We start from the raw sequence: 27,384 nt of genomic DNA, 5'->3' as shown, positions 1-27,384 counted from the left end.
TGCAATGGACTGATTTTGTTTCATGCAACTGTTACTTGTCTAACAGTTTTTTATTTTTTAGAAATTTTTTTTATTTTAACATTTTAAAAACTGAGTAAGTTGAAGGAAATATAGAGAATCTCTTTAAACTGTAGTAGAAGGTATTAGTTTAGAGATGGAAGAAGAAAGCTGAGGTATACGATAATCATCTCTCTGTGTCTCTCTTTTATTTCTCCCTTCCGAAAATATAAAATTTATAGCTGCTTAGTACTTTTAAAATCACATCTTCCATCAGTTATGCAGTGGACTTTATATAGAGACCAGTCCAAATGACCCAGCTCACTCTCAGGATCAACCAACGGCAGATCTTGCTGTTGATACATGTGCCCCTAGGCCTGAAGGGTGGCCAAGGGGCAAGTGAGCGAAAGGTGAGGGAGTGTGTTGCATTTGGACATGTAAACTGAAATGTCTATACTCACGTCTGTGAGGACCTTTGTGATATGGGTTGGAGCCCTGCGTAGGCTGCTCCGTTTATACTCTTGCCCCAGGCCCACACAAATGTTGGGGGAGGCCTGCCTACCAGCGTGGTAGTTTCAAACTGTTCTGTGAATTCCTACAGAGATGCCTAAAGGTTTTCTTCCTTTGAACATTCTTCCTTGAACCTTTACTTATTTTTAGATTAGACTTCTGAATAAGATTTGTTTTTAAAATGAGTTCCCTATAAAGGATTATAAACTCCTTTTTTAAGGATTGAGATTATGAAGGTAGATACTAAATCTAGTCCTCACTGTGTGCAGTAGCCTTTCTTATCCATGGTTTCACTTTCTGCAGTTTCAGTTACCTGTGATACAGCATAATAAGATGTTTTGAGAGGAGAGGAAAGGATACCACATACACATAACTTTTATGACAGTATGTTGTTATAATTGTTCTATTTTATTAGTGATTGTTGCTGATCTCTTACTGTGCCTAATTATAATTTAAACATATATATATATATATGAAAAAATAATATATGTAGGATTTGGTACTATCCACCATTCAGGCATTCACTGGGGATTTTGAAATGCATCCCCCTGAAAAGACTTCCTATTCAGTAAATGGTGCTGGGATAACTGGCTAGCCATATGCAGAAGATTGAAGTTGGACCCCTTCCTTACACCACATACAAAAATTAACTCAAGATGGATTAAAGACTTAAATGTAAAACCCAAAACTATTATAACCCTGGAAGACAACCTAGGCAATACCATCCTGGACATAGAAACTGGCAAAGATTTCATGATAAAGACATCAAAAGCAATTGCAACAAAAGCAAAAATTGACAGATAGGATCTAATTAACTTAAGAGCCTCTGCACAGCAAAAGAAACTGTCAACAGAGTAAATAGACAACTTATAGAATGGGAGAAAATATTTGCAAACTATGCATCTAACAAAGGTCTAATACCCAGCATCTGTAAATAACTTAAATTTACAAGAGAGAACCCCATTAAAAAGTGGACAAAAAAACAGGGACAGACACTTCAAAAGAAGACATACATGAAGCCAACAAGCATATGAAAAAAAAGGTCAATATCACTGATCACTAGAGAAATGCAAATCAAACCCACAAGATACCGTCTCACACAAGTCAGAATAGCTATTATTAAAAAGTCAAAAAATAACTGATGCTGGCAAGGTTGTGGAGAACAGGGAACATGTATTCACTGTTGGTGGGAGTGTAAATTAGTTCAACCATTATGGAAAGCAGTATGGCGGTTCCTCAAAGAGCTAAAAGCAGAACTACCATTCAACCCAGCAATCCCATTACTGGGTATATACCAAGAGGTACATAAATCATTCTACCATAAAGACACATGCACGTGAATGTTCACTGCAGTACTATTCACAATAGCAAAGACATAGAATCAACCTAAATGCCCATCAGTGACAGACTAGATAAAGAAAATGTGGTACATATACATCACAGAATACTATGCAGCCATAAAAAAGAACAAGATCATGTATTTTGCAGGAACGTGGATGGAGCTGGAGGCTATTACCCATAGCAAACTAATGCAGGAATAGAAAACCAAATACTGCACGTTCTCATTTATAAGTGGGAGCTATATAATGAGAATTCATGAACACAAGGAAGGGAACAATAGACACTGGGGTCTGCTTGAGGGTGGAGGGTGAAGGGTGGGAGGAGGGAGAGGAGAAGAAAAGATAACTGTTGAGTACTGGGCTTAATACCTGATGAAATAATTTGTACAACAAACCCCTATGACACGAGTTAACTGTGTAACAAACCTTCACATGTACCCCCAAATCTAAAATAAAAGTTTTTTTAAAAAGGAAAGAAATGTATCCCCCTCGGATAGAAGGGGACTGCTGTACCAATACTTTAGTATTATTTAAGTCCTGGAACTTGGAGTCATTTTGTAAGTATTTGTTGACTAATGAAACAAATTTATTCATTCCCTTATGCAAAGAAATCTCTACATCTGCAAAAACATAGGCAGAGTTTCTGGGCTAACAAAAAGACAAATGCCAATGCAAAGGAAGTCTGAAAATTGTGAACAAAGATTATTAAACCAGTATTTACAGATCGAACATTTTAATCACGTTTCTATTCTGCAAAGTATGTTTTTCTGTATTAGCTCATTTTATCCTTACAGGAATCTGTGTAGCATTATCTTCATTTTACAGTTGAGGAAACTAAAGCTCAGAGAGGTTATGTGAATTGCTTGAGGACACAAAGCTAGTAAGTGGTATAACCAGGGTTCACAGCCCCCTGGTATTTTCACTGCAGATTCCACCCTTTTTTTCCTGCATTGTGTTGCCGTCATAGTTTATCATACTGACTCAGTGCTTCTAGAATTCATAGCTATCGGATGCATTTTATGAGGATATAGTAATAAGTTCCTCATATCTTCTATATTATATATAATGAAATTCATATATGTAGATGACATTTTATTCATCAGGCTTTTCCTTTCAGTGTAACTTTTAACCCATATTCCTATTCACAATTTTGTTTAATCAGTTATTTCTCTGTCATTTTTATATTGAATAGTCACTTCCTTTGCTAAGTTTATATCTGAGAATGAACAGCTGGCTCACAGTACAGTGTGAATCAAGTTCAAATTACTCTGAGTTCAGAGAACACCCAGTGTCATCTTATTTTTACATCTAACTGAATTATAGGACACTGTCAAAGTGTTATGACCTGCTATAGTAAATTGCTCCTTCTTAATGGTCCCCTGGCTACATTCTCTCTTGGTACTGCTATTAACCAGAAATTGTTGACATTTTGCACTATTGTAAGCTTGAAAACAAAAGAATTAGTTTTTATCCCCAGGAAAACCTACCGTCTTCACCATAAAGGTTTCTAAATGTCTAAGCTACCTACAACTGAATCATAACATTTTGTAGTCTAAAGTTGATGGTACCCTCAGAATTGAATTAATTCTGTAATTCTTTCAATTTTTAAAATGTCAGGCAATTCTTCCTCATTGAATTCAGGAAATTAGTTAATCATCTGCCTTAAAAGAACTAACTTGTTTGAATGTTGAACTGGTGGCTCATTGATGGTTTCTGAGATGTACTATTTAAATAAGTATGTGCATGTTATAAAATATATTTGGCTATGCCTAGTGTTGCTAAATTTTAAATGTTCTTTTAAATGTAACATTATAAGAACCAATTAATGATGAAGGAATTACACAGAATAACAAAATGCTTGCAAATGAGACCAAGCAATTTGCTTAGTTATACTAAGTAAACAGAGTAAGTTCTAGAAATGGTCAATATTGCTTTTGATCAAACTGATATACTCAGAGTGATTAATGCCTGAAAGATGGGAAAAAGATAAGAAAAAAAAGACTCTTCAAAGAAAAGTAATTTTTCCGTGAAATAATTATAGAATATGGAGCATATTTAAATATACTTATGGACCATATGCATGTATACATGTATAGAGATTGTTTATGCACAAATATCATCAGTAGAAAATTTGACGGCTATTGTGGACCGTAGGTAAACAATGAGATGGCAATGTAGTGTTGCTCTTACAAAGCAAATTTACTGCTGCCATTACAGTAATAGGAATATAATCTATAAAGGCCAGGGCAAAGTACTGTTATATACATAGCAATTATTAGGATGTAATTAATATAAAACATAAAGCTTAGATTTTTGTATTTCAAAAAGGATGTTGATAAATTTGAAGACTCCAGAGAAGGATTTTTTAAAATCAGTAGTTTGGAAATGGAGTTTTTGAGTAAAGTCTCATGGTCACAAAACAGTATAAGTCATGTGCAGCCCATAGATCTGTTTTTGTTTGACACCTGTAGTGTTAGTCCACAATTTATTTATAATTAACTGTCAGTTAATTTCATATAAAAGTACAGATTTTAGACTTCTCTTGAAAAATCTGCAAATATGGCAATCGTGGGCACGTTCTTCTATCAACTAGAGCTGAGTACCTACTGCCCTCTGTTGACAGGCTTTGAACTCTTCAGTTTCCCTGACCCAGTTGACCTCAGTCTTTTATATTTTTGCCTGAAGACTTTTGAGGAGTTTATAACCTTGTGTTTGGAAAGACTGTGTTTGGAGTCACGTTACCTGAATTCCAATTTCTATTCTGCCACTAACTATGACCTTGAATAAATAATAATTGTAAAATCTTAAAAGTAGGAATTGGCCAGGCGCGGTGGCTCATGCCCGTAATCCCAGCACTTTGGGAGGCCAAGGTGGGCGGATCACGAGGTCAGAAGATTGAGACCATCCTAGCTAACACGGCGAAACCCTGTCTCTATTAAAACTACAGAAAATTAGCCAGGCGTTGTGGCACACGCCTATAGTCCCAGCTACTCGGGAGGCTGAGGCAGGAGAATCACTTGAACCCAGGAGGCAGAGGTTGCAGTGAGCCAAGATCGCGCTACTGTACTCCAGCCAGGGCGACAGAGCAAGACTCCATCTCAAAAAAAAAAAAAAAGATAGAAAGGAATTTAAAGATCATCTGGTTCAACTCCCACCTAATGCAGGACTCCTCTCCACTAAATTTCCAAAAGATGGTTAAGCCAGCTAGCCTGTCTGAAGATTTCTGTTTACTTCACAAAATAGCCTATTCTGTTTCAGAAAGTGCTAATTATTAGAAATTTCTCCTACCTGTTAAATCTATGTCTGCTTACCTATAACTCACTCTCGTTTTAGTTCTGACTCTTAAAACTATGAAGAAAAGTTGTATCTCCTCCCTTCCAGGTGTCAACCGTTCTGTTATTTGAAGACAGTAGACATTTTCTTCCTAAGTCTTCTCCAGACTAGTTTCACCAACCTAGTGGCTCATTACTGAATCAATGTCCCTTTTTAAACATGTAACACTAAAAATGTACATTATATAAGATGTCTTATCACTGGTAGGGAACAGAGTAGAGCTGTAACTTAATAGATGTGACATCAAAGGCAAGGTGTCTGCCTTTACTGTTCCTCTTAAAGTGTAGCTTATTTGTAAAATGTGCTAGGCCATCAATAAGTGAATGGTTTTATAGCAAATCACTGTATAGATGTAGATATTATATTAGCCCAATATTAGCCAGACAAGTTATAGAGTTTCTTTGTAGACTTAGTGCCCAGTCTTTATTGTAGCATTGTTTTAAATATTTGCCATCCCTTTTTTTAAAAAGGTAAAGAAAAAGCAGGAAAAAAGGCTTAGACACATCTTGTATTCTTGTTGGTATCATGGCATTTGTCAGTGTGTTCATACTTTTTAATTTTCTAGTACTTGCCGACTTAATCCCATGAGCTTACTTCTAATATCAGTAAAGGGTATGAGCTGTCTATGTGGTTCAAGCTGCCACTTGAGGGTTTCTCCATTTTGTGGAGCTTTCTAATGGAATTCAAGGTTCTCTCTAAGGATGAGCATTACAAAGCCTTCCCTGGCTGCTGTGGGAGGAGGAAGTGCACCATAGGTTCAAGGACACATGTGAAGTTTAATGTGCACAAGCATGCTCCCGCTCCTGCTCCTGCTCCTGCTCCTGCTCCTGCTTACTCTGATTGGCAAGGTTAACTCTGAGAAGCTGCTGCTTTTTTAAGTGATTTGATTAGACCCATCACTTCATTCCTTTCAGTCCTCCCTCCCAAGGACCAAACCACCACTGTCTTTGCAGTCTTTGCTTTGCCCGTTACATTTTCTCTCCTTTTTTCCTGCTTTTTCATCAACTTTTAACATTTCGTAAAACAAAATAAGGAACTCAAAAGTAAACTAACTTGCCTCACTGAAAGCTTTGACATGAAAAATTTCCATACTTTTGTTTTCTACACTTGTAAATTACAAAACTTTTATTTCATTTTCACTTAGCTCATAAGGAAAAATAGAATTATTATTCACATTAGTTCACTTAGATAATTCCACAGTCCTCTATCAAAATTTATTTTGTACATAATGAATTCTTTCCTCACAATCGTTTTAAAAATAACCTTTTAATTACAAAAACTTCAACGAGGTACAAAAATAAAGAGAATATCTAGTTTCAGCAATTACCAATTTGTGGCCAATCCTGTTTAATCTGTACTGCTATCTCACAACAGTGGTCTTTAACCATTTTAGGAAGAATATGAGGAAAGTTATGAACACCAGAGAAAAAGGACCTACATGTTAAATTTTTGCAAAATATGTTAATAAGTTAATACATTTGCCAGAGCCCGCCCTTGGCTATCCTAGGAATGCAAGAATTCAGAGTGAGAATCCCTGCATCCCAGCAAAGAGAATATTAAAGTTTCTCAACTTCTCTAGTCACCTGAGTGTTGGGATTTGGGATTAGCATAGGTTCTATGCCAACAGTGATGAAGTTAAGCCAATGGCAGGCTCTTTGTAATGATTAAATATTCATTACATAATCGCTTTTCTAAATATACTTCCTTCCATGTTTAGCTTCTTTTCCCTTTGGTTGCTTATTAGTTTGTCTTTTTAAAATTAGTAGTATTTTTACCAGTGTTGATAGATTTGGTGACTTTGAACCATCTCAACTTTTAAGGCCTAACAACTCAGAATTTTATCTGGAGCTTCTGAGTTGTCATTGCCAACAGCTAAGAAAGAAAAACTACATCTCTCTATGTATGAAGGATAGAATGATTAATAGTGAATGCATTAGGAACTTAAGTAGTAAAGCTGGGGTTTCCATAAAAGAACATACTAGCACTTGAATATGAATTCTAATTATTAAAGCATATTTATTTAAGGTATAGGGATAGCTGATTGTTACATGACAAAACAGTCATCTTTTTTTTCCCATCCTGTTTCACCTTCTTTTGTCAGTTGGCATTTGGTCTCCCTCTGGAGCAGCTGTGGTCATAGGGTGGACTCAAAACATAGCAGTTAGTAAAGTGGCACTAGCAGCCTGAGGATTTCCCTGTAGAACTATGTCATTGTTGAATCTCATACCATCTGGCCCTGTTGTGAGCTAAAAGTACTTTTTAAATGCACGTAATAAAAGAATAGTTGATATAACTTAATTATTCATTATTCCATTTGAAAATACTAAGTATTTTGCCCTTAGCACAGTTTCTTTTGTCCCTCTCTCCCTCTCTTTCTCTTCATTTGGTGTGGGGAGCTAGGGAATGGATAATGTACATTTCTCTCATTTTAGTATGATTAAAGATATTTCTATTAAGGTGATGATTCAGGAGAGGAACCACCTTCATTTATAGATAGTCACGTGTCTATCTCAGAATAGATTCTCATTTTTTAAAAGTTCCCTATTGTGTTCCCTCTATAACATTTTGTGGTTGGCAGTACTTTTAATATTTTATTGAATGGGGGTGGGGGGAATCAACAGCAACAATATAAAACCTAGAATGTTCAATAAATACAGCAAAATAAATATATGTTCAGAGAAAGTAAGTGTAAACCACCTCTTTATTATGTTTCTAAGGATGTATGTAATCCATATAACATATAAATAACCCTGGTTTTATTGATTGATGTTTCTGTGGTATTTTGAAAGTTGTAAAATGTGGGGTTTTACCCCATTATAGGCATTTATCTGCATGGCTTGGGAATACAGTATCTGTTTTTGCTAGATACTGTCTCTATTGGAAGGCCATTGAATGCCTAATCTCTGTGCTCTCCTTTGAGGGTTGGCTTTCTTCAAGACCAAATCCCGTAAGAAATTATTCAAGAAGCTCAACAGAGAAGCATCACTTATAGAATTACTAATCATTACTTTTAATACATTTTAAAACATTTTCTTTTAAAAAAGTGTCTATAAAATTTGTTTGAAATATTTTACAGATTCCATTATGTGTTTACAGATTTTACAGATACTTTACAGATTCTATTATTTGTTTGTTATTTGGACTGAGGTCTAGTTCTCTGCTCTTTAAGGTAGCGCCCTGACATCCTCTCAATATAAAGAAGCCTAAGCATATCTAAGCACCTGTTTAAAAAAAAAAAAAAAAGGAAAAAAAAAGTTGCTTGTAACAAAAACTATCCCCACCTACAATTTATTAAACCTTGACATACTGCATTACTTAAGAGTTCTCAGAGAAAATTAAAACCCTTTTGACTGGGCTTTGCAAAGCAGGGAAATTTTTAGTGACATTTAAAAGGTTTCTCTTGTGTTCCTCTAATGGGATAAATAAAAAAGGCTTGTTTTAGCCCAGCAAATGGGGGGACAATCCAATTTCCTTGATTCCATCAAGACACTCTTAAAGCATTAGCCTGTGCAGTAAAAAAAATTCAACTGACCCCCCTTTGCGTGATGGCTTTGAAAAGTGTCCTGATGTGTAGGTATTTGCCCAACACAGCATACTTGGTTATTACTCTTCCAACACATCCGTTGATGGAAAAACCTTATGTGAAGCTCCAATAAATGTCAGTTTATGTTATAGAACTATAAAAACAGTGTACCAGACTATAATGCTCTCCTTAATGGGTAGCCTTTCACTTGAAGATGAAAAGAAATTCTGCCAAGTATGTTTAAATTTTAAAATTAAGGAATAAGATAATATTATTTAAAATAATATTTTAATAATTTTTTTGTCACATTTAATTACTTCACAAAGGTTGACTTCTGTTTGTCCAAAAGATAGTGCTCCTTTACAGAGAATTTACTAGCATAGGGCAGTGGTTCTCGAATGTTAGATTCCATTAGAATTACATAGAGCTTGTTAAAACAAATTGCTGGGCCCCACCCCAGAGTTTGTGATTCATTAGGTCTCTGGTGGAGCCTGAGAATTTCCATTTTTAACAAGTTCCCAGGTGAAATTGATACTGCTGATCTGGGACCCACAGTTGGAGAACCACTGGCCAAGGGCATGTGTGAAAAGAGATACCTCTGGATTAGTGGTTCATATTTTGAATCAAATCAGTTAGTTCTGAAAGTCATTAACATCTGAGAGCATCCTAATAGGTGAAAAATGTGCTGATGGATACCAATACAGTCTTGAGTGGATGGGCATTTTTTGGACGTTTGTCTCCTTAATTGGCAGTTTTTAAAACCCAGTCTGAAGGGGGGAAATAACATGAAGATAGAACTTTCATTTTAGAGAAGGTGCAGAAGAGAAAACTTAGGTCCCTGTGTGTTCTTTAAAGAATAGAAACTGAATGTGTTTTCTATAACCAATTGCATAATAAAGCTGTTGTTTATATCCTATTAAAAAAGTTCTTTTTATCAAAACTTCTGCCTTTATCTATGTAAAAACCCAAAGTACCTTGTTATTCAATAAAAAATTAAAAAGTAAGTTTGATATTCTGATTTTTTAAAATTATTTTTGCATAGTAAATAATAATGTTATCTGGAATATCTCACTTTCTATGTCTGTAATATTTTACTTAAAAATACTTAGAATTGACATAATGGTCTTCTCTAGAGTCTAGAGTTACATGCCATTTATTCATCTGTTCTTAAAATGCACTTTGGAAATAAATAGGAGACAAAAAAAACACCATTATTTGACAAGAAGAAATTCTAAGAGAGGGATTTGTTGACTTATCTAAAAGTCATAACAGCAAAGCAAGAATAAAAGAGGCTTAGGACCCCACTGAAAGAAGGTAGTGCAGCAACCAGTCTCATTTTCTTCTGGTGGAAAAATACATATGATGATGAGTACATGTATATCTTCTAAATGTCTAAATGCTTGGTAGTAATTCATAATTTTCTTTTGTTTAACACTTTTCTTCCATCAATCCAAGTAAATTCCATCCTAACAAATCCTTTTCATAAAATAATACAGGCATCTTATATTTGCGTGACACTTTATATTTTTACAGGGGGTTTTAGATACATTGATTTCATGTCATCCTCAAAGCTATTTTTTTAATGGTTTCCTTCTAAAGTCCTGGAAATACTGTATAATAGCGATAGAGGGGGGCCAAAAAAAATCCATCTCACTCAGTATTATAAATATTTTTGTTTTATTTATTGGCACTGTCACCTTTTAAAAAATATACGTTGAATTTGTGGCTAGCTTTCAAGTAAAATAAATGTTATTTTAAAAGAGTTATCAGTCGCTTTGTGCTTCCTTTGGGATTAAGGGTACTATCTGCATTACTTAAAACTCAGTTTGAAAATAATTAAAGGTGACTTTGAAATTGCCGTGGGTTAAATGAATGAAATCAGGTAATCAGCACTTTTCTGGAGCCGTTCTGCATTTCCCTAGAGTCCTTGGAGCCCTGTATTTTGTGATTCCCTTCCAGCACCACCTTTCTTCTTTTTTTTATCCTCAGCAAAGGATAGGTAAATCAAGTCAAATGATAATTTTCCACATTGTACTGGTATTATTAAGCTAAAGTTTACTTCTGGTGCAGTAAGTACTGAAGATGGAGTCCAGAGAAGACTGCATAGAGGAGGTCAGTGCAGAAGTGGTAGCAGTTAATCTCTCCACTGCTCTGATATCCGACAGCTGGTCTGACATGGGCCTGGTGCCAGCAGTGTCTTTACAGGCTTTGTGGCAGAGATTATTCAAAGGAGATTAATCCCTCTAAACCCCTTATATTTTAATTATTTCTGTATGTATTTATAAAACCTGCAGTCTGCTAGTTTCAGGACACAACTGTTCAAGCCCTCATCTTTAACCTGGTTTCCATAATCAGACAAAATATATTTCTTTTACCACAAAGAGTACATCATTGATTTGATTTTGTTATTAAAATTGTTTTTCTTTTGGGGTTTTTTTTGGGGTTTCTGTATGATATTGCTAATGTTACTTTTTTTTTTAAGGATAACCAAAGTTAATATGACTTATTTTAGAATACATGCTAAAATGCTGTGAGGTTTTTTTTTTTTGTTGTTGTTGTTGTTGTTTTTGAGACGGAGTCTTGCTCTGTTGCCCAGGCTGAAGTGCAATGGCACAATCTCGGCTCACCGCAACCCCCGCCTCCTGGGTTCAAGCAATTCTCCTGCCTCAGCCAACTGAGTAGCTGGGATTACAGGCATGCGCCACCATGCCCAGCTAATGTTTGTATTTTTAGTAGAGACAGGGTTTCACCATGTTGATCAGGCTGGTCTTGAACTCCTGACCTCATGATCCGCCCACCTCGGCCTCCCAAAGTGCTGGGATTACAGGCGTGAGCCACCGCACTCGGCCCTAAAGTGCTGTTTTTGTATTACATGATAGAAGTCTAAAGTTGCAGACATGTAGAATGTGAAAACCTCTTTGTTAAAAACAACATGACTTTCAAGGAATTTTTCTTTTTAATGGCTACCATACTTTCCAGCATTGTTAGGCAACTTTATCCCTGACCAAAGTATCCAGAACAATGATTTCTGTATGCCCAATTTATGTTATTGAGGGCTATAAAATTTTACCCCAAATTCAAGAGTTAACACAATATGAACGACCAAAGAATTACAAGAGCTTATGAAATAAGCTCTGCTGGCAAGAGCATCAAGTCTCTAGCACCATGAAAGTCTTGCCAAGTCTTTCACCTGTAGGGAAGCAGTTCTGCTTCTTCATGCACACTGTTGCTCCTTCTTTCATATACTGAGAAGAGGAAGACTTTGAGGATCATCTTCCTGAAGGTCTTCCAGCTTCTAGGGAACCTCTACTGAGACCTGTCTTGATGTGTGCTGGTGATAGAATGTGTTTGTGATATTTGTATCTTCAAAACACTTGTTTTAGATCATTTAATCTTAGTATAAAGTTACCTTTTTTGATTATTGAGGCTGTCCTTTCTTCTCTTAGTTGGATTTCTTCATGCTTATCTGAATGAATGTCAGCAGCATATTTGGGGCAGGGATGCAGAGGGATCTTGGCTAGCCAGAATATTAGTAGCTTGTGTTTTATTATCCAAATTGAACAATAACTTTTGCTTGTGCTCTAAAAATGGGAATTAGACATTAATATCTCAAGACTTACCGTTTCTTTACTTATTCCATTTGTATCGAGGAACATAAATTTAAGCCCTAACTCTGCTGTTTGGCATGCTATCATTTGGGGGCAGGTCATTTAATCTTGTTGAACTTGAGTTTCCTTATCCACGAAATATAGCTACTATTACCTACCTTACTTATTTCAGGATGTTAGTTTCAAATAAGTTGGCACATATAAAGTGTTGTGTAAAAAGATATATAAATATGTTTTAATTTTCTTAAAGAACAGCATGTCTGAATCAAGAAAGATCTGTGGAAAGCTCAGTAGTGTCATTAAAAATCTTTTATGCTGTCGATATCTTGTGAATTATTTTTTAAATTGGTGTTAGTTGAGCTTTTTCCTTGTCTCTTTCCAAATAATGTAATCTTCTCTTCCTGTCAGTCATTGTTAGTTTTCAAAAGTGTCTTTTACTGTAATGGTTATGATAGAAGTGTAACCATAAGGAATTAGATTATAATATATAATATCATAATACCAAATATAAACAATCTTTGTTTTTTTTTTTCTTTTGAGACAAGGTCTGGCTCTGTTGCCCAGGCTGGAGTGCAAGTGGCTCAATCTTAGCTCATTGCAACCTCCGCCGCCCATGCTCAAGCCATCCTCCCACCTCAGCCTCCCAAGTAGCTGAGACTACAGGCACACACCACCACAACCTGGCTAATTTTTGTATTTTTTTTGTAGAAATGGGGTTTCGCCATACTGCCCAGGTTGGTCTTGAACTTACGAACTCAAGCAGTCCACCTGCCGCGGCCTCCCAAAGTGCTGGGATTACAGGCGGAAACCAGCACGCCCAGCCAACAATCTATTTTCATTATACGATATATTATCATATTTGAACTGATCTAAACTTCCTGTATATACGATGTTAATTTAAAAAATAATAACAATAGGCCGGGTGCAGTGGTTCACACCTGTAATCCCAGCACTTTGGGAGGCTGAGGCAGGTGGATAGCTAGAGCCCAGATGTTCAAGACCAGTCTGGGCGACACGGTAAAACCCCATCTCTACAAAAAGTACAAAAAATAGCTGGGCATGGTGGCACACACCTGTAGTTTCAGCTACTTGGAAGGCTGAGGTGGCAGGATCACCTGAGTCCAGGGAGGTCAAGGCTGCAGTGAGTCGTGATCATGCCACTGCACTCCAGCCTGGGTGACAGAGTAAGACCCTGTCTTAAAAATTGTAACAATAGGCCAGGCACGGTGGCTCACGCCTGTAATCCCAGCACTTTGGGAGGCCGAGGCACATGGATCACCTGAGGTCAGGAGTTCAAGACCAGCCTGACCAATATGGTGAAACCCCGTTTCTACTAAAAATACAAAAAAAAAATTAGCCGGGCGTGGTGGCGTGTGCCTGTAGTCCCAGCTACTCGGGAGGCTGAGACAGGAGAATTGCTTGAACCCGGGAGGCAGAGGTTGTAGTGAGCCGAGATCACGCCACTGCACACCAGCCTGGGCAACAGAGCAAGACTCCGTCTCAAAAAAAAAAAAATTATAGCAATATGACAGATTCTGTTCAAAGCTAGGGAAATCTGTAGTTAGAAATTCTTGTATGACTTGAAGACAGTTGGAATAAGCTTCAAAGTTTTAAACAGAGTAGTGGCATGCATAAGACAATGCTTGCAAAAGGGATGGGAGACTACATAAATTATTAAGGAAGCTCTTGTAGGAGTTAGTGGATTAGGAAGTGAGGGCCTGGATAGAGTTCATTACTGTGGAAAAAGAAAGAACCAGAGATATATATAGTACAGAAGGAGAATTCAATCAACCTCACTTGATGAAAGATAATATAAAAAATAAAAGAGAAGTTGAACATGACTTCAAAGCTATGGGCAAAAAAATAATGAGCTCTGGTTTTGACATGGCTAATTTTAGTGAGCTATTATGACATCCTTGCTGAAATGTCCTAAAGAAAAAGAAAAGTCAGTACAGGACATGCACTTAAAGATGTTTTCCCAAAAGAATGGTAACATACTCAAAGAGAAGAATGAATCTTAAGATTAGAATACTGTAAAACCTCCATATACGTATGAAGATACACAGAGAAACCCATGAAATCCCAGTCATAGTTAAGAGCATAAGGTTGGGAGCCAGAGACCTTCTAAGTTCTGACTCTGCCACTTACAAATCATGTGACCTTGGACAAGTTACTTAACCTAAGCGTTAGTTTCTTCATTTGTGAAATGAGATAACTTAGTACCTATTTCATAAGGTGGTTGGATGAGATTAATAAAAGAACTCATGTAAAAATTGCCTAGTGCGGTAAACAGCATTAGCCACTACCATCATTGTTTTTACTCACAATTGACATAAATCTTTTTTGTTGTTGTTACATTGACAGTATACAGCATGCAGAAAGGTATACAAAATAAGGTATTATTAAAGCCACCTGGAATACTGCATCTTTGTGTGCTTTACTATTCAGAGACAATGTTGCGTATGTCTTTATTATAGAATTCTAATTCATAAGTGACTTGGAGGACGTGTTTTATTCTTATTTTTTAAAAACTATATCAGAAATAAGACCTTCTTATTTGGTTCTTAGTTGCACAGTCATACACAAAAGTTGTTAAATTACAGAAGGGCTGGTAGATAGAGGTGCAGCAGGGGAATAAAACTAAAGCTAACATTTATTGAGAATCTATTCCCTTTAATACAGTCATTCATTCTCCTTAAAACCAGTCACTTATACTAGAAAAAATAGCTCAAAATAGTTTTATCTTTGAATGCATGGGTTTTGTTACTTTTCTTTCATCGGCAGTCCTACTTTATCGGGGCCCTAAATAAAACAGCTTATTTAACTTTTTTTTAGGAGACCCAGGAAAGAATTTAGGCGGCAAGACTAATGTGTACAGTAAAAATTGAAATAAAAATCTTTTCATGTTTTTAAACATTTTTTAAAATTACCATATCCCCTAGTCCATGGCAAGTGTTTAAAAAAAAATACCATAAAGGGGGATGAAAGCTTGTGGGTGGTGATGAAACCACATTTGATAATATTTATAGGCAAATAGTTATGAATAAATTACAGTACTCAAAACTGACATTGTAGCTTCAGGGTAAATAGAGGGTTAAATCTCTGAGCTGTAGAAGCAGATTGTGTTTTCCTTTTGTGATCTGGGCTGACAAGACATCAGTATTCTATTCATCTGTTGGGAATTAGGCTGTTAATCCAATCAATGACTCTTGAGTGAGCTGTGGCCTACCTCCCCCACTGGGGAACAATCGGATCAAACTGCAGATTGTTTAAGAGCACAGTGCTGTCCTCATGTCAGGTGGAATTTTCAAATGTTCCCTGGTGAATTGGGGATAGGGAAAGCTGTCTTGGCCCATTTATCCTGCTCCTTAAATAACCAGGTATCTGCCTCATCCATACGAAAGCATTTGGTAGTAGTGACAACAGGAATGCAATAGAAATCCATTAACTTTAGCTCACAAAAGTGTGGATGAAAGGGAGGAAATGTTTTCAAACACTCACAAAATTATCTATATTAAAATGTTTTTGCTTTATTAATATTTTTTCTTTTCCTTAAACCTTAAATCATTTTCTTTGCTGGGCTTTTTTTTTTTTTTTTTTTTGTGGTTGTTAACTGTTTTATGTCATTGAATTTTTTTAACCACCACAAGCTCTTTTTGTATCTTTACCCTGCCCTGCATATATTTTTGTAAGTCAGCAGGATACAAATAAATTTTTAATATAGATTATGGGAACACTAATTAAATAAAATTTTAATTTTAAAATATATTTCTCCGAGGAATGCTAATTAAATACAATTTTAATTTTAAAATATCTTAGTCTGAGCATACATAATTCTGACATCTTTTGCAGCCTAGCAAAATTTGATTTCTAATTACTGATTTAATAGGCCATTAAGTACATTTGGAAATTATTATTGAACTGATTGGATAGATGTTCAGAGTTGCAGTTGTCTTCTATGAAATGCTGCCCAAATTTTTTCTGTTAACCAGTAAGGTGACATGGGCTATCACAGAGTAAAACATCTAAAATGACAAAAAGAAATTCTCAAGAAGTATTTACTAACCAATCTCAGTGAAGAAAAGCTTAAAGAATAATTTTATTATTTTCTATCTACATTACATAAGAATATTCCAAAAAGAATTTCCTAAGTCAGCCAAATTTATCCATTCATTCTGTGGATATTTAGTGTCTACCTTTTATGTACCCCATACCTCTTCTAGGCATTAGAATTATAGTAAACAAGACAAGATTCACGTTCTTTTGGAGCATACATTCTAATGAAGAAAATATGCTAAAAACAAACAAGATAATATCAGTTAAGTTCTAAGAAATAAAATAGTGGTGGTTACTTTAAACAGTGATCAGGTAAGACTTTACTGAGAAAGTGACAAGCTGAGAATTCAATGAAGAGAAGTTGCTATAAGTCGTAATAAAAAGGTCCCTGAAGTAGGAATGAGCTTGACATACCACGAACAAGCTACTTACAGGTACACTATTCTCTGGGACAGTAAGTTTCAGACCTGGTAAAGTATTGAATTTTCTTGGGAACTTTGTAAAAATAAAGGTATCTGAGCCTTCATCCCTAGATATGCTGATTCAGCAGGGCTGAATGGGATGTACTCTGTGTATAAAGTGCAGTGAACAGTATTGAAAGTCTTATCTCTAGTTAATGTAGTTTCTTTCCTTGAACATATCACACACTTGTTCCATCTGTGCCTTTGCTCATGTTTGTTCTTTACCTGTATTGTTTACCCTTACTGTCTCTCACATGCTTCCATCCACACTGTCTCAAATGCCATCTGCTTTTTAAGGCCCCCTCTCAGTAGGAAGCAGAATAATACTTGTATTCTTCCAAAAAATGTTGAACCCAAATCTAACAAAACCTATAAAAAATATGGCTGGGTGCGGAGGCTCACACCTGTAATCCCAGCTTTTCGGAGGCTGAGGCGAGTGGATCACCTTAGGTCAGGAGTAAGAGACCAATCTGGCCAACGTGGTGAAAACCTCCTGATCCTCAGGAGCCTAAGGCAGGAAGATCACTTGAGCCTAGGAGTTTGAGGCCAGCCTGGACAACATAGCAAGACCTCATCTCTAAAATAATAATAATAATATTAACAATAAAGCATTCATTTATTCATCCATTCACATTGTTGTGCAATCATTACCATCGTCTATCTCCAGAACTTTTTTATCTTCCCAAACTGAAAGTCTGTGCTCATTAAACAATAAATGCCCGTTATCCCCACCCCGCCTCCTGGCCACCATAATTCTACTTTCTGTCTCTCTGAATTTGACTACATGTACCTCATGTAAATGGAATTGTAGCATATTTGTCCTTTTGTGTCTGGCTTATTTTATTTAGCATAATGTCTTCAAGGTTTATGTTGTAGCATGTGTCAGAATTGCATTCCTTTTTGAGGCCAAATAATACTCACTTTGTATGTATATACCATATTTTGTTTATCCTTTCATCTGCTGATGGATATGCATATTGTTCCCACCTTTTGGTTATTGTATATGATGCCACTGTGAACATGGATATAAAAATACCTGTTCAAGTCCCTGCTTTCAATTCTGGAAAGTGGAATTACTGGATCATTCTCTGTTTAATTTGTTGAGGAATTGCCAAGCCATTTTCACAGCAGGTGCACCATTTTACATTCTCATTAGCAATACTTGAAGGTTCCACTTTCCCCAAATCCTAGCCAACACTTGTCATTTTCTGTGTTTTTGATACTAGCCATCTTAATAGAGATGTGAAGTGGTATCTCAATGCCCTATCAAAAAAAAAAAAAAAAAAAACGTAATATCGGGCCAGGCACAGTGACTCACACCTGTAATTCCAGCATTTTGGGAGGCTGAGGTGGGTGGATCACAAGGTCAGATCGAGACCATCATGGCTAACACAGTGAAACCCTGTCTCTACTAAAAAATACAAAAAATTAGCCAGGCATGGTGGCACGCACCTGTAGTCCCAGCTAGTCGGGAGGCCGAGGCAGGAGAATTGCTTGAACCCAGGAGGCAGAGGTTGCAGTGAGCCGGGATTGTGCCATTGTACTCCAGCCTGGGTGACAGAGCAAGACTGTCTCAAAAAAAAAAAAAAACGTAATATCTGGCAGGTAACTGACAGCACCCAGATTAAAGGGATACCTGAAAAGTAATATAAGCTATAGAATGACATAAAGATGTCTAGATTGAGAATAAACCTATATATTTTTATCAGTTTTCTATGGAAATAGATATCTGCAATTCACCTATATTATATTTCATAGGATTATTTATTATGGTTAAGAGTAGTTACTAGAAATTCTGCATACAGATTACCATAAGAATAAAATCAGCAATATAAACATAGGAAAAGTAACAGCCCTGAAATTATTAAATTTAACTCAAATATTTTATTAAATACTTACTCCATGACCTGGATGCAACAAGACATTAGGAGACACAAGAGGTACAAACTGTGGTTCCTGCCCTGACATCGCTTACTATCTGAGACAGTAGAAAACTCGTTAAATTATTAAAGAACAATTATGAGCCAGACTATAACCAAATCCCATAATGAGAGATCATCTGCAAGTGCATTGGAAGAGGTAATAGGAAAAAAAGGGAGAGATTACTAGGGAGCACCGTAGTTGGAGACATCTTCAGTTATGAATTGTGGCCTATCTTGTACTGTAAAGGCTAGGTGATATTTGAAGGATGCTGAGGTGTGGAAAGGGATAGGTAGCAGAAACAGCTCGGGCAGACTATGGAAGCCATAAATACTCAGAGTAAGGAATTTGGGTGAGTGTGGGTGTGTTTTAAATGAGGACTATAAGGAATTTTTTAGAGTGATTAGTAACAGTGTACTGTTACTAGGGAGAAAGGGAATAGGAAGGAATACCAGTGAAGATACCCTTGTATTAATTTTGGTTATTGATGTTGAATTGACCAAGGATTTGTGTTTCGGTAACAACAATAGAAAATATAGATCGATTTCTCAAATACCTGAACTAGGGTCTCTTAACACATTGAGTGAAATGCTGGGAAGAAATCAGAATTAGGAGTCGGCCAGGCATGGTGGCTCACACCTGTAATCCAAGCACTTTGGGTGGCCAAGGTGGAAGAATCGCTTGAGCTTAGAAGTTGGAGACCAGCCTGAGCAACATAGTGAGACCTTATCTTTTCTATTAATACAAGTAAAAAATATTTAGCCAGGCATAATGGCCTGCATTTATAGTCCCAGCTACTTTGGAGGCTGAGGCAGGGAGATCGCTTGAGCCCAGGAGATCGAGGCTGCAGTGAGCTATGATCGCACCACTGTACTCCAGCCTGGGCGACAGAGCAAGACTCTGCTCAAAAAAAAAAAAAAAAAAAAAGGGTCACTGGAGAGGACTGAAACACCTTTAGTTGTACTATTATTGTGTAGCCTGGTTGATTACATCAAAATTATGCAGTTGTTAGGAGGAGGAAATTAGAATACAAATAGAAAAAAAAATATTTACGTGATTTTATGGTAGCTTAAAGGTTTCAAGACTTGAGAAAAAAATCAGTTTTACAGTGACATTTAGAGGAAAAACCAAAGAGGATTTGAAACATTAATAAAAACTCTATGCAGGATAGAAAGAGAAGCTAACAAGAATAGGAAGTGATTTATTTCAGGATAAAACAATATTAAAGAGAAAGGCCCACTAATAAACAAGGTCATACGACTCTAACAAAGCCCATCTTTAATGGAAAAATTAAATCCATTTTTAAAAGCTAACTTTAGTGGTTGCTTTGGCAACACATAAAATTTATTATACTAAAAAAAATTTTATTTATTTTTTTATACTAAAGAAATTAAAAGGCTGGGCACGGTGGCTCACGCCTGTAATCCCAGCATTTTGGGAGGCCGAGGCAGGCGGATCACGAGGTCAGGAGATTGAGACCATCCTGGCTAACACGGTGAAACCCCATCTCTACTAAAAATACAAAAAATTAGCCAGGCGTGGTGGCGGGTGCCTGTAGTCCCAGCTACTCCGGAGGCTGAGGCAGGAGAATGGCGTGAACCTGGGAGGCGGAGCTTGCAGTGAGCCGAGATCGCCCGCGAGCCAGCCTGGGCGACAGAGCGAGACGTTTCCAAAAAAAAAAAAGAAATTAAAATTTTTTATTTATATTTTTTATTATACTAAAAAAATGGAACGATACAGAGAAGATTAGCATGGCCCCTGACATGCAAGTTCGTGAAGCGTTCTATTTTTTTATAAGTAAATAAAAGCTGACTTTATAAGAAAAATTAAGTTAAATAAAGGATACAAAGTTATATTAAACAAGTGATACTGCTCTCGCAACATCCTAAAATGGGTTAAAAAAAACTCAGGAAAAAATTGCCCCTTCGCCTATAAATGCTGTGAATAACATTTTTAGTGAAAAGGGTAATATTCTGTTATATTTTTGATTCCTAATGATATTTTGTCCTATTAACCTGAGAGAAAAAAATTATAAGAGCAAAAAGAAAGCTTATTCAGATTTTATTTGTTGATATGTTGCCTAATAAGTTTGTCATAAGTTCTTAGTAAAAGCAGTTGAATAAGTAGAAAATAAAGGTTTAGAAGGCTATGGAATATAGCAGACAAGAAATAAGGAACATTTGTATATCAAAAAAATGAATTAGACTGTTTAAAAATTGATAGCTGTTTGGACTGGATTTTTAATTAATGGAGGGGCAGGCTTACAATTTACTTCTCCATTCTATCTAAAGCTATCCTTATTCAGACACTTCAGCATTCATACTAACACCTACCAATCCTTGGTCTGTGAAAACCCCTCAACCCTGGCTACATTCATTTATACTCCATTTTAACTTACTTGAACACTTAACATCTTTGAGCTTGCTTCCTGTCACAACCTCAAATTCTGAAACTTCTCTAGATCTTAATACTCTTAATAGCTCCCATTTCCTCAGTTCTCCTGATCCTACACTTCTTCCTGCCTCAACATGCCTTCTAACTCAGCCTGAACCCCAGGACTGATCATTTCCGTTCATTTTTTGGACCAAAAGTGGTAGTGCCAAGACTGAAACTCACAGTCCAGAGCTCTTGTCGCTTCTCTATGTTGATTTATTTGCTACAAAAAGACATACTTCTTTCTCCCACAGATAGCCGCTGCTACTTTCATTGCCATCAAGGTTTTATTTTTAATTTGCCCAAAAGGAGCATTAAAAGGCAATTAGATCGTAGGATATTAATATTCTCATTTTTTCTTTCATTATATTTTTCTTTTGTGCATTTATTCATTCAACAAATACTTATTGGCTGCCTACAGTACACTAGGCACTGCAAATATTTATGCTGTAAATAGAAGTACCTCTTTATACACATACAGTATTTAAAGATGGAAATGCCTAAGAGAGAGACAAGATTATTAATCAGGCCATCTAGAAATGCTTAGAATCTCTTTTTTTTTTTTGAGACGGGGTCTCGCTGTGTCACCCAGTGGCGCAATCTCGGCTCACCGCAAGCTCCGCCTCCCAGGTTCACGCCATTCTCCTGCCTCAGCCTCCCGAGTAGCTACAGGCGCCCGCCACCACGCCCGGCTAATTTTTTGTATTTTTAGTAGAGATGGGGTTTCACCGTGTTAGCCAGGATGGTCTTGATCTCTTGACCTCGTGATCCACCCGCCTCAGCCTCCCAAACTGCTGGGATTACAGACGTGAGCCACCGCACCCGGCCTAGAACCTCTTTATATGTGTCTGCTTATCAGTCGTGCATCTAAGCTTGAAAATTTTCAAGGATAGGGAATTGAAGGAACATTAAGGTAGCCGTTTTAAGTTTGAAAAGATCTTTCTACCAGCTGGGCCAACATGGTGAAACCCTGTTTCTACTAAATTAGCTGGCCATGATGGCAGGCAGCTTTAATCCTTGCTACTCGGGAGGCTGAGGTAGGAGAATTGCTTCAACCCCCGGGAGGGGGAGGCTGCAGTGAGCCAAGATCACGCCACTTTACTCCAGCCTAGCCGACAAAGCATGACTCTGTCTCAAAAAAAAAAAAAAAAAAAAAACTTTCTGTTGAAAAATTAAGTGTTTGACTCCCTATAATTTTCTCATACTCTTCCTACTTCTAAAATGTGTAGCCGTATAGAAGCAAACAGTTTTATTGTTTTCAGATATTTCGTCTTTCGTTCCTAACATGACATGATTTCAAGTTACTTTACCATCCAGCCAAAGCCTATTTCAGGCTCTTTATGTATATCTTTCAAGGTACTTTTCACCCACAGCTCTTTACTACTAACACTGCAGGAATTATCTGACCCTAGAAAAGAATAGCTCTGTATTAGTTTGGGTTTGGATTTTTTTCGTTTTTCATTATTTTTGTTTTGTTTTGTTTTGTTTTGTTTTTTGTAATTGAGACAAGGTCTCACTCTGTCACCCGGGGTGGAGTGCAGTGGCATGGTCACAGCTCACTGCAGCCTCGACCTCCTAGCCTCAAGCAATCCTCCCACCTCAGCCTTCCAGGTAGCTGGGACTACAGGTGCACACCACTATGCCTGGCTAATTTTTGTATTTTTTGTAGATGGGGTCTTGCCATGTTGCCCAAGCTCAAGTGATTCTCCTGCCCTGGCCTCCCAAAGTATTGGGATTACAGGCATGAGCTACCATGCCCAGCCTGTATCAGTTTTCTATTGCTGCATAATAAATTACCACAAATTTAGCAACTTAACACACTTTTGTTTTCTCACAGTCTCCATGGGTCAAGCATTATGGCATGGCTTATCTGGTTCCTCTGCTCAAGGCTTCATAAGTCTTCATTCTCATCTAGAGTTTGCAGTCCTCTTAGTTACTTGAGGCCCTCATTCCTAGACACCATCCCTCTCCTTAGGCAGTTCACAAAATGGTCAACATGGCTATTTGTTTCTTTGAGGCCAGCTCTCTCCATTCCATCTCTGCCCTCCATCATGAAAGTGGTTTCCCATCACATTCACTGGTGCCACCGTCACTCAAGGCAAGGGAATTATACAAGGGCCTGGGTCATTGGGGCTTACTTTGGATTTCTGCCTACCACAAGCACTATCACTTTCCTCATTCTAATAGTATGTACCTATTAATATATTTCTAAAATTTAATTTGCTTTTGAGTAGCTACATCAAAATTCACTGAGCTCACACTCTACTAAAGCCCCTAAATCTTCTATTTATGTTTCTCCTAAGATTACTCCACGATGTAGTTTGTGACTACTTGGTCCTTGGTACGGGATCTTTTCTCTATGTCTGTTAAATTCCATCTTGTTAGATCTAACCGATCTAGCCTGTCAGCACTTGCTACCTATATCCCTCATCCAGTATGCTTACCATATCTCTCAAGCTGAATGGGATTTCTAAAATTTTAGCTTCAGAATTTCAGATCTCCAGCACTTGCTGCTGGTTTTCAGGGAGCTGCTACAGGCTAGGGAGCTGCTACAGGCTAGGTTTTGCTACATTGTAAAACAATGTAACTTTAAAATTTCAAGGTTTTAAAAATTTTCATTACAAAGATAGCACTTGTTCATAATAGAAATATCAGAATATACGGAAAAGTTAAAAAAAACATATAGACATACTGTTTACATTGTGGTAGGTTTTTAAAACATTTTTAAATATACAGTGCTTTTTGGTTTAATTGCTTGCTTTATATAGTTTAGATCTTAGTATAAAAACATTTTTTATAATTCCATTTTACATTAATAATATTGTAATGATGTTCTAAGTTATAAATGTTTTATGACCATCATTTGAAATTGCTGCGTAATAATCGACTCAACTTTCCCTGTGTTGTTGGACACTTAGATTGTTTCTAATTCCTTGCTATTCTGGATAATACTGGAATAAACTTTTTTATAAGGTTTTTTTAAATATTTGAAGTATTTTTAGGATACCTTTCTAGAAATGCTAAGTGAAAGGAAATGATTTTATTTTTTCTAAAAGATTTATAAATCTTTTCATTTTCTAAATGATTTATACTAATGTATGCTCCTAACAACTAATGAAAGTGCCTATTTCATAGCACCTTCTGTAGAGGAGGAACTGTTTTGTGGGCCTAACAGACTATGTAAATTTTCACTGTAAAAGTGAAAGATGAATGAGAATATGAATGAAAATAATTATTTCCTGGATTTCTCTTTTTTACTTCTGGTCATTCACCATCAAGGGATTTAGAATAGAGTGGATTAAGGTATATTGAGTTTTTACTGAATAGTGTTATAGAAACAGTATGCAATAAGCAAGACACCCTTCAAAGAGTTTGGCTTTGTTCTTATTTACCTAACTTTGAATGCTAGACCAGCTCGGTAAATTAATACAAATATAGAGACTAAGCTCCAGCTTCTCAAAATATGTATAACTTGAAAAAGTATAGCAATCAACTGATGCAGAGGTAAAGAAGAGTGTATAGTGTTGAAGAGTAAGATTATTCACTCTCTGATGATATGTCAGTTTTGAGATTTTGGTAATAGGAATTACACAAGCATGCTGTATGTGATACCATAACTTAGGCCACCTATTGTCTTTAACCTGAAAAAAATAAAAAATTTTAACTGCATTTCTTTTTATTTGTATTATCTGTGTTGATTCTCCTTTCTCTTTTCTAGTAGCAGAGTTGAGAAAATACGGATTGTGTTGTTAGAAGGGCCTGGGACCTTAGGCAAGTTATATAATGTCTCTGAGCATCATTTTACTCATTTTGAAAATGGGAATAATAGTGTTTACATAATAGGGTTGTTGTGAGAATGAAAAGAAATGATGTTTGTAAAATTTCCAGCACACAATGGGTATTCGGTCAATGTTTGCTCCTTTTTCTTTACTGCAGTGAAGTCTCAACTCTGTAGCACTGGAAGGTTAAACATTCTAGATAAGTGTTCTTTTCAGTTAGCTGAACAGTTACATTCTGCCTTTTATTTTTTAACTGTTTTTCTACAAAATACTTTTTTAAAAATATATTCCATACTTCATTACTTCCTTCTTAAATCATTTTACTATACCATGGGTGTTTATAGCTGGTGTGAGACATAAGGCTGAAGCTTCTCTTTCTCTCTTGCAATTGCTAAAACCTACTGGTTGGCATGCAGCCCAGTCCTCTTTATGGCTGGCTATTCTCTGTGGTCTAAAATGTCTACAAGTTGCCACCTGTGTCATAGCTTCTAATTTCTGCTGCCTGCTACTGTTGCTACCCCATTCCTTCTAATTACCATTAGGCTCTGCTGGCCTCTTACCCATTTATGCTCTTTATTCTTTGCTGTTTTTTAACTGTTCAGTCTCTTTTTCCTCTGTTGCATCTCATATTTCATAGTCAAAGACAGGCCTTTCATTGCTTTCTCAGACCAGCTAGAATTCTTCTTCTATACAGAGCCAACTGGTCACAATGTGTCTAATATGGTCCTCATCAGCACTTTTTCCCTACTCTGGGCCCTATTCCAGGTACTTGAAAATGCCAAAAATCAAGAAAGCCAACTATATTTACTTTTCTTGCAAGTAGTTTATTTTCTTTTGAGATAGGGTGTCTTTCTGTCACCCAGGCCGGTCTCAAACTCCTGGGCTCAAGCGATTCACCTGCCTCGGCCACCCAAAGTGCTGGATTACAGGCGTGAACCACCACACCTGGCCTGTTTGTTTTTGTTTTGTTTTGTTTTTATGCTTACTTTTACTATATGCAAAGTTTTGTGCAGATACAAAGGATAAAAGAAATCGTAGTCTATAAAGTTAAATTATACCATGATCCTTACCTTCAAAGGAGCAGAAGAACACAAACATAATACAGTTAAAAGATGAAGGAGGTCGTGGGAGACAGTTTTAAGTAAGGATTGTGAAGGATGAAGGTTCTGCTTAAACTTATAAAGAGGAGTAGCTGTTTTTGAATCCAGTCTCAAAGTATTGGGTGATAGTTTAGAATCCTATAAGTCAGAACAGAGAAAAACAGGCCAAATGGAAGGGAGCTTCCATGATTCTCTACCATTTTAAAGGTATGGTAAAGAATCATTTAGGAGGATTATGGGTACTTCTTGCCTTTCCTTGTTTGAGAATCTGAGTCTTTAAACTTTGTATATTATTTTATCATTTATGTATATTGCTTATAGGTTTTTAATATTTATTTGGAAACAGGATATGGAGGTGGAATAAACTCTTTTTTTATAAGATTTTTTAAATATTTGAAGTATTTAGGTTATGTGTTTTTATGCTTTCATAGCTTCAATTTTAAGCATGCTTGAATTTTTTTACATTTTAACTCTATTATGTAATTTTGTTTATTTTTAATTCAGTTGGGTATTTTTATTTTACCCTAATGTTTCATCTATTTAAAAGATTTCAAACATATAACCTATTTTAATTCATTAGAATAGTTTCTGCTGCTGTTTATAACAACTTCATATTGATTAAATTTGAACATTTCCTTTAAGATAAACAGAAGGGAAAAACATAAATAATCATGACAAACAACCTTTTCTGGTGTGGTCATTTGAAATGAAACAACAAAAAAAATTCAATCAATTTAAATCTAGAAAAATTAGCTGATATAAGTTGTAAACCAGATGAGTAAAAGCTTTCACTTATTCATTCTTGACATTCAATTCCATTTATTCTTTGTAATATATTTTAAAACAGAATGTCTGCAAAGACTAAGGTTTAGGTTCCTATATTCTATTCTGAGATTATTGAGAAAAAATGTTTGGGCTTATACTCATGCTTTAATATCAATTCCATTTTAACACACAAAGAAGACTAATAGAATAAAGATTTTATAGAGACATAGTGATGTGGTTTATTAAGGCATCATAATTATAATAGTAAGTGTATTATAGTAGACTTAAGATAATTATTAATAATAATTTAAAGCTGAACAGACTTTATATTAGTGAGTCATAATCATTCCAAATAATTATGTTCATGATTGAATATTTCTTAAGTGCCTATTGTATGCTAGGCATACAAAAAATGAGTAAGAGAAGAACAACTTACATTTGGGTCCCTAAACACTACAATTGGATTAGATAATAATTTAAGATAATTGTCTTTTCTTTGTTTCACTCAAATACCTATCCTTTATCAAAGTGCTTAGACGCATACAAACAATTCAGAGTT

The 27,384-nt window shown here is 36.2% G+C and overlaps 1 protein-coding gene and 1 pseudogene across 7 annotated transcripts in view, besides 1 other annotated feature; both read left to right on the top strand.

The window, feature by feature from the left end:
* ACBD6 (acyl-CoA binding domain containing 6) overlaps positions 1-27,384 on the top strand; it is a 232,925-nt gene that overhangs the window by 132,879 nt on the left and 72,662 nt on the right. The gene's annotated exons all lie outside the window — the stretch shown is intronic.
* LOC124904702 (uncharacterized) lies at positions 20,448-20,541 on the top strand (annotated as a pseudogene).
* Positions 25,279-25,479: a silencer, noted in NCBI's record as "peak484 fragment used in MPRA reporter construct". NCBI's record gives its function as "represses an SCP1 promoter by STARR-seq MPRAs in K562 erythroleukemia cells {active_cell/tissue: K562}" and the evidence as "EXISTENCE:reporter gene assay evidence [ECO:0000049][PMID:32103011]".

Source organism: Homo sapiens, chromosome 1 (genome assembly GCF_000001405.40).
Source record: "Homo sapiens chromosome 1, GRCh38.p14 Primary Assembly".
Taxonomy (NCBI): Eukaryota; Metazoa; Chordata; class Mammalia; order Primates; family Hominidae; genus Homo; species Homo sapiens.
The sequence above is the reverse complement of the archived record's forward strand: the minus strand, read 5'-3'. Positions and strand labels throughout refer to the sequence as shown.